This window comes from Homo sapiens, chromosome 5 (assembly GCF_000001405.40).
Source record: "Homo sapiens chromosome 5, GRCh38.p14 Primary Assembly".
Lineage (NCBI taxonomy): Eukaryota > Metazoa > Chordata > Mammalia > Primates > Hominidae > Homo > Homo sapiens.
In genome coordinates, this window is record NC_000005.10 from 51,318,944 (window position 1) to 51,327,436 (window position 8,493).

Below are 8,493 nucleotides of genomic sequence, written 5' to 3' on the forward strand. Positions count from 1 at the left end.
TTAGCTCAGAGATTCTTCCCTCAGCCATGTCCAATATGCTAATGAGCCCATCAAAGGCATTCTTCATCTTGTTACATTTTTATTCTATCGCTAGCGTTTTTTTTCTTTTTGTAATTTCAACTTTTATTTTAGATACAAGGAGTATATGCATAGGTGATCCTTTCTTAGAATTTCCATCTCTCTCTTGTGCACATGTACCCTAAAACTTAAAGTATAATAATAATAAATTTAAAAAAAGAAAAAAAAAGAATTTTCATCTCTCTGCTGACATTATCTATGTGTTCCTGCATGTTGTCTACTTCTTCCATTAAAGTCCTTAGCATATTTAATCATAGTTTTTTTAAAAAAACTCCTGGTCCAATAATTCCAATACGACTGCCATATGTGACTCAGATTCTGACGCTTTTTCAGTTTCTTCTGTGTGTTTATAATGCATTATAATCTTTTGTCAAGAGTGGACACAAAATACTAGGTAAAAGGAACTGCAGTAAATTGCCTTTAGTAATTTAGTGGTAAGATGTCAGGGAAGGAGACGCATTCTATAGTCCTAAGATTAGGTCTCAGTTTTTTTTGTGGAGGCTGTACCCCTTCTCAGTCTTCATCTTGCTTCAGGTGGGACAGAATGCCTAGAGGGGGCTGGCTGGAAGTTGGATTTCCCTGCCCTATGTTAGGCTCTGATAAAATAGTTTCTCCTGAGGACAGGACTTGTTAAGAACAGGATGCTCTGATGTATTTCAAAATGGTTTCTTTTCTACTCCCCATGCCAGAAGCACAAGGGAATTTTTCTCTGATCTTCACTGTGAGGACCTGGTAGAGCTCCTGGAAATAAAACTCACAAAGTCTCTCTCTCTCTCTCTCTCTCTCTCTCTTTCATACACACACACACACCCCTGAATTCCCCTAGTGTTTTTATCTCTTAGATTTGTCTACACTGAGCCTCCAGGGTAATTTTTCAATTATACTTCAGGTTTTCCTACACCAGCTTTGGTTCCTTTGGAGGATTCTACTCATGGCCTTCCGCTCTGGAAAGTTGTGATTCTCTGCAGCCACCTTTCTGTTTCTTCCATTTTAGGGGTAGCAGTTCACCCTGTGTGATCACTTCCCTGAAAGATCTAAGAAGAGTTGTTAATTTTTCAGTTTGTTCAGCTTTCTGCTTCTTGTTAGGATGAGGTTGTGACTCCTAAGCTCCTCACATCCTGAACTACAAGCCAGAAGTCCTGATTCATTATATCTATAATGACAAATATCTGAGTTCCAACAAAAGAACCATGCACTTAGATACTTTGACAGCAATAGCTATTGAAATAGAAGTTTTAAGTAAATTCTGGTCTTTGAATACCATCAGTTTAATAAATGTTTGAAGGATATATTGGGAAGAATTTGGGCAACCTTTTCACCTGGAGAATACATGAATATCTTACAAAGGCAGACATTCAATTAGAAGAGACAGAAAAAAAAAAACAAAACTGTGACTTCTGTACTGACTGATGCCAGCACCATCATTTCTTTTATTTCCTAAAGCTAATGTTTGAGTCTTTCCCCATGGTTTTCTTCTCTATGAAAAAAGTACTATTGATGCCTTAGCTCTAACATGAAGAATATGCACTTGGGTGCTTGTACTTCTAACCACCGGGAACGGAATGTGTTATCTTTTAGGGCAAAGCTGTCTTATTGTTGTAGTCATTGTGGCTGGTATTGAATCCTTGGGAGCAGGCAGCATGTGGCACAGCTTGACCTTTCCGATCAGGCAGATTAAGAACATTATATTTTCCACCCAGTCAATGCAGGGCCTATGGTTAATGATTACTTAGAGCCTAAATCCCACAGCTGATTTTCTATCATTTGGAAATGATCAGAGCCCATGTCCAGCAAAATCTGGCAGTGACATTTTTGGCAAGCTCTTTCAACAGCAGATGCTTTCAGGAAAGACAGAGAGCAAGTGGGGATGAGGGGAGGAAAATCCTATATTTCATGTAAAATTTATTTTGCTTCTAGTTCAACCACGCACCTTCATTCTTTCAAAGTGACGTGTTGATACTGGTGACTTTTAGCATGGTAATATATTACATGTCACTATTAGGATAAAATGGCATTGTCTGCTTGCTTATTCTAATTTCATAATTGCAAATTCTCTTTCTATTGAAAAATAGCATTCATTGTCAGAAGTGCACTAAAATAACTTCAACACTTCAAGCAACAACTTTTTCATTAACATACATCAGAATAAGTTTCATAGGTCACTAAAAAGAGAAACCTGAAAGGCCTATCTTTATTAAAATAGAGAAGAGGAAATGGAGAAGTAGAATCAAGGTGAGGAGTCATATAAACAAAATAATGTGAATTTCCTTCCAATAGCAGTGTCTGGTAAATATTCCTTCCCTCTGTTCATTGTTTCTGTTGTTATTCTGTTTTTGTTTTGTTTTGTTTCCCTCTCTCTCCTTATCCTTCTTTAAATTCAAACTGTAAATTCTGGTATAGAGTAGACACCACTGTATGTCTACTAGACAAAGGGCCTGGGCTGAGTTGGGGTTGACTAATGTTTCTAGCCTGCGAGATTTTCCTTATGGCTCTCATTAGGCACTACCCCTTGTGCCGCAAAAAGCCAAAACTAGGCTTTGGTGACCTATGTTTCCCTATATGTAGAATGTGATCCAAAAATGCAATGCATACAAGTAGATCTCTGATCAAAACTGCAAAAGAACCAGAGTTAACTTTTGATCCTGCTAATTTTTATTTTTCTGAACTTTGGCCTTTTTATTTTTCATTCAATCACACAGGGCCCTGATAGTGGCCTATTTACAGCTATGCAAATCTACTAATTTCACCTAATGACACTCTTAACCAAGTACTCTATTCTCCAAAACTAAATATCTGCTGTTCATCCAACTCATCCACAGTCTAAATTCTGATTATTCTGAGCTCTGCTATTGTCAACAATATGTTTATTGTGTTCTATGATTATATTCCTATACATCAGATTACGAATGACTGATAGATAACACTTTCTAAAGTATCCACATGTAAGAGAAGTACCTATTGATCCTTTTGTAGTTCATAAACAGGATGATAGGGTTTTCACATTTATTGTGAGATGTGCTTCCCTCCAACCTTGTTATGATGTTGATGCATTATCCATCTGATATGAACTTAGGAAAAAAAGAAGTATTTGTTGGCATAAATTATTATTGAATGATAAAATTGCTATATTGGAAGATAAAGAAATAGTACACATATCAAACACTTGATCATTCTTCTCTCTCACCTGCTATCTGTGATATAAGCAGCTGTATTAAAGTTGCCTAAAAATGTGGAAATAGACAGTAGAAGGCAATAAAGACTTCCGTAATTGATATGCGGCTTCTATCAGGTCCAAGGGAACTGCTTCACTTGTCATCTCCCAGTAAGTGGGAAGAGAAGGAAAATATATAGATGATTTGACTCTCATCCCATTGACCAGACATAGTAACATGGCCACACAAATTACAAAGGAGGCTGGGAAATATACTTTCTAGCTAAGAAAACATATTGCTAAATGAAACTGTCACACTTTAAAAGAATATGACCATGACATTATCAAACAATAGGAGAGTGGTTAGTGTTAGACAAAGGCACTAGCACACTAATTAGTAAAATGAAAGATAATTTGGTCCAGAAGACAGTACCATAAGATGGATTTGATGTTGCTTAAACAATATTACCTGTAAAGCTTTGATTCATATCTTGCCTGCAACCTTACATGGTTGTTTATTCAGGTAAGGCCAATAAAGGCTTCACTTGGGTACTACCCCATGTACCGCAAAAAGCAAAGATAGAAAATGTGTCCTCATCAATTTTGTGGATGACACAAATGTGAGCAGGGAAGTGACTTCACAAGATAAGAGAAGTGAAATTACAGAAAAACTGGGCAGACTAAAATCGTGAGCTGAAATTATAAAGATGGAAATTTAAAAATATTAAATGGAAAGTGACTTTAAGCTCAAAAGTACTCTGCAAGTATAAAATGACTTAGCAGTTCACATACTAAGGATATAGATTCCTTTAAGAATAAATCCAATAAGCATTAGCACTGAGGCATAGCTCTCCCAAGAGCTAAATGCATTTAAATAAGTTAAGTCATCCTTCCACTAAATGCTGCGTCAGAATGAACACATCTGTGTGGTTGTCACTGGGATAAATGCCACATTTGAAGGGGTCTGCAACAATATGGAGTACATAAATATAAGGGCAGTTATTTCATATGTGGAGTGATTGAAAGAACTATAAATATTTTCCTTGAGGAAGACAAGGCTTATAAGGGGCAATGAATGATAACAATCTTCACATATTTGAAGAATTGTCAACAGAGTGTAAAGCCCTCTAGGGCCAAACTGGGACAATTGGATTACACAGAGATAGATTTTAAACTTAGTATACAGTTTAAAATAATTAGACTATTTTTAAAATGGTTTGTCTTTGAAAGGAGGAAAGTTTCTAATCTGTATTCTTTCATGATCTCTAAGGTTTCTTCCATCTCAGAGATTCTATACAATCATTATGCATTTTTGAACAAAGTGTTTCCCTCAGCTTCACGTATGCATAAACTCACAGGCATGTATACAAACATGCATAAAAATAATCCATTAGAAATGAGATAAATAGCACCGATATGGTTGCCTAGTGGGGTGTACTGCCCAACTACTCCCAGCACCGATCTTTCACCTTTGCCATGACTTTTTCTTCTCTAAGGGTTTGGTTAAAACATAATTATGGCTGTTGAAGTGTATGTTTCTAGCACAACATAGAATATACGAGGCCCCTAGATAAAGGGGACTTTTCCATTTATGGGGCTTTAGGATTTTTTTAACCATTTAGGATGCTTAAACAGCTGACACATTTTTGTAGTATCAAGGAGTAGGTGGTATGCGGCTTTGAAAACTAAACTACCCACTGCAAGTCATTAGGAAGCCAGAATGAATTTTTTTCACTTCAATTTCAACATTATAGATATGATCACATGGTGCTTATTTTATCACTGGGGTGTAATGATATAAGCATATCCTTGAAATCAGATGACTGGAGTTTAAGTCATTGTTGTGGGACAATTTTAGTTCTGTGAATTTTGGTAAATCACTTAGACTCTTTTATCCTTGATTTCTTCATTTTTAAATGAGCATAATGACTGTCTTATAGTATTATCATAGATGTCAAATGATATAACCATGCAAAACATTTTATAAGTTATATACAAGTAAAATATTATTAATATTATTCCTGGAAATGGTTTCAAAGACTAAATTTTCCTTATTCTAAAATTTCTTATTTATCTCTGTGGATTATCTGTATCCTCTTTTCAATTTCAGTCTGGCTTTTCTCTGCCACCTGTCATACATATGGGCCAGTTTCTGGATTTCCACATTTGCTCCTCCATTCATTTTCATCAATTACTACTTTCTCAAATTAAAATTTGCTTAAAAAAGACGAAAGAAAAGTGGCTGTGAAATCGCATATAAGCAAAGTCCAAATAAAATTACTCTTTAAATTAATAGAAAGCATTGGACAAACCAAAATAGCAGAAAGTTAGCTAGAGCTCAAAAATTCAGAAGGGTTTGGAGGATTCAGATTATAACCTGCTTAATATTTAGAAGAGCTGGCAATCCGCCAGTCAGGAAGAAATTATTCACTGCAATGCCCTGCATATCTTTACTGTTGTCACCTCTCCATCTAACATAGCTCCGGAGACTAGAGACTGATTATCTGATGTGTTGGACACATCAGGAGTTCGAGACCAGCCTGGCCAACATGGTGAAACCCCAGCTCTACTAAAAATACAAAAAAAAATTAGCTGGCCTGCTGGCGCATGCCTGCGATACCATCTACTGGGGAGGCTGAGGCAGGAGAATCGCTTGAACCTGGGAGATGGAGCTCACACTGAGCCAAGATCGTGCTACTGCACTCCAGCCGGGGTGACAGATTGAGACTTCATCTCAACAACAACAACAACAACTGCAGATTTTTCTGATATTAGCCTCAAAAATCATAGCTGACACATTAACAAAATTGACCTTCCTTGAACTAGAAGGGAAATGCTGGGGTGATATTACATCTGTCACTTGTATGGACAACACTTTATAATATTTCTCATAACAGAAATTCAGAAGCATCTTAAGCCCCTCTCAATTGACTCCTCTAGTCCAAGTTAATTATTTCAACCTCTATGTTCCTAAGTATCTTGTCCATGTGCTAATTATAGCACTTATCACACTGAATTTAATAAAAAGTAAGTAAGCATGTAGTTTGTACATTATAGATGGTTTTTCATACTGAGTGTAAGGGAATTCCATTTCACTGAATGTGATCTACATTTAAATTCACCTTTATTCATTTCTTCCTTATTCAATGAATTGTGCCAAATACTGTTTGGATTCACAGGAGATATTTGAGAAGTGAACATCAAAACACATCTTTGCAATTCAAAGGGATACATACTATTTTAATAAATCAGTTTTAAATTATGTGAGAATCAAAAGTATCATAGAGAGAAAGTAGTAGCCTATGAGATGAATCTGAGGGAAAGTCAGGATTTTGCACGTTGCGTGGAGGCCTTATAGACACACTGGACTACAAATACACCATTTCTGATTTACCCACTAGGCTTTGCATTCTCAGAGCCAAAAATAATGTCTTACACATTGTGTTCATTTGCTAGGGCTACTGTAGCAAGGTACTACAAACTGAGTGGCTTAAAACAATAGACATTTATTGTCTCACAGTTCTTGAGGCTAGCAGTCCAAACTGAAGGTTTTGGCCAGACCATGTGTTCTGCGAAGAATCTAGAGGAGGATCTTCACTGCTTCTCCCAGCTTCTGGCAGCCAAGGCTCACTGCAGCATAACTCCAGTTTCTGTCCCCATCTTCACATGGCTGTCCTCCCTGTGGATGAGGTGATGTCTCTACATTGCCTTCTCTCTATGAGCATCTCTGTGTCTTCACGTGGCATTCTCCTCTCTCTGTGCATCTGTGTCCACATTTCCCTTTGCTTATAAGGACACTATTCCTATTGGATAAGGGCTCACCCTAATGATTTCATCTTAACTTGATTACATCTGTAAAAACTCTATTTCCAAATAAGGTCACATTCACAGATACTCACAATTAAGACTCCAACATATCTTTTTGGGGGATACAGTTTAGCCCAAACATTCTTAATTATAACCCCAATATTTATCAGAGAATATACAAAATTCTAAGCATTCAATATATGTTAGCTAAATTTTAAAATGTTCATTTTTACATCCTACTATAACCCTCACACTATCGTTTAAAACTGTATAAATTGTTCTTGATTCAGGAAAATTGAGAAATAAATGATTACCATCATCCAAGAAATAGTCAACCTACTTGAAAGTTGTTGTCATCCTTAGCCAGGTCTTTCTCCAATTAAATTATTCAAATACTTTTATCTTCTATATACATCCTATTTTATAGTTCTTCAATCATCTTTGTTACCACCCACTGTATCCTAAGATGGAACTTGCAATTTATCCTTTCAGAAATAAATTTTGGGTTGCTTCAGACCTCTAAAATGTTTATATGCACGATATCACTTTTCCTAAACTCCTGTTTCCTTTGCTATTTATTTTTTCCACTTAGTTCTCATGGAGACAGTGAAGGCTTCATGATAACTTTGGATTTGAATTTAATAATTTTTTCATGTGGAATTGTCAAAAATATGGCCCGAAAGTTTTTCTATGAACTTGCCGACTTTTTGTCCTTTTTACTGTAAAATGAGAAAAGTCACATTGAAAACTGCAGAAGTTAAACTGGCATGTTTCACCTAGTACCCCTAAGGTAACTTCAGCTGTGTTTTAGTAAATGCCGTGAGTCACAGTGCTCTCTCTCGGTTCAGAGCTCTTTGGTACCTACAGGTCTTATTTCATATCAGAAGCAGCTGGATTTCACACCTACATTTGTCACCCTTCTAGATACTTCCTTCTGAGCTTATTAACACCATCCAGCAGCTACCTTGAAGATATGCTGCCAGGAAAAATGAATGTTTTCTGCAAGGAGCAAAAAGGTTTTCTATTCCCATATGTCAGCACTTCAGTTCAGGCCCACTGCCAATAACTAATAGCATTTAAACAATAGTTCATTCAGGTGAGAGTTACGAAAATGCTCCTCTTCTGAGATGATTCACCAGATATTGTTATGCAAAAATGAGAAGAAAATTGGTTGATTTTTGCATCTAAAAACTACTGAAGCACATTTAAAATGAAGCTACAGATCAGGTTCCCAGTCCATGCTTCACACTGAACTTGCTATTTGACAATGAATTTTCACATGACTTTTCAACATCTCCCTTTTCTCACATGTAAAATTAAGAGAATAGCATCTTTTTACCTGCTCATTGTGAGGTTGAAGAGATATTATGTGGGAAATCACTCTAAAATTAGAAGGCACTGAGCATATTTTGGGCATACTTCAGATGTTATTCATACTCTAATTTAGAAGTTTAAAA

General features: G+C 36.4%; 1 non-coding gene across 1 annotated transcript; it reads left to right on the forward strand.

Annotated features, from left to right (window-relative positions):
• The first annotated feature begins 3,039 nt into the window (after positions 1 to 3,039).
• On the forward strand, positions 3,040 to 3,142 carry LOC124901206 (small nucleolar RNA U13). Its single transcript, XR_007059170.1, has one exon. It is a non-coding gene; the product is annotated as a small nucleolar RNA U13 (small nucleolar RNA).
• The last annotated feature ends 5,351 nt before the right edge of the window (positions 3,143 to 8,493 follow it).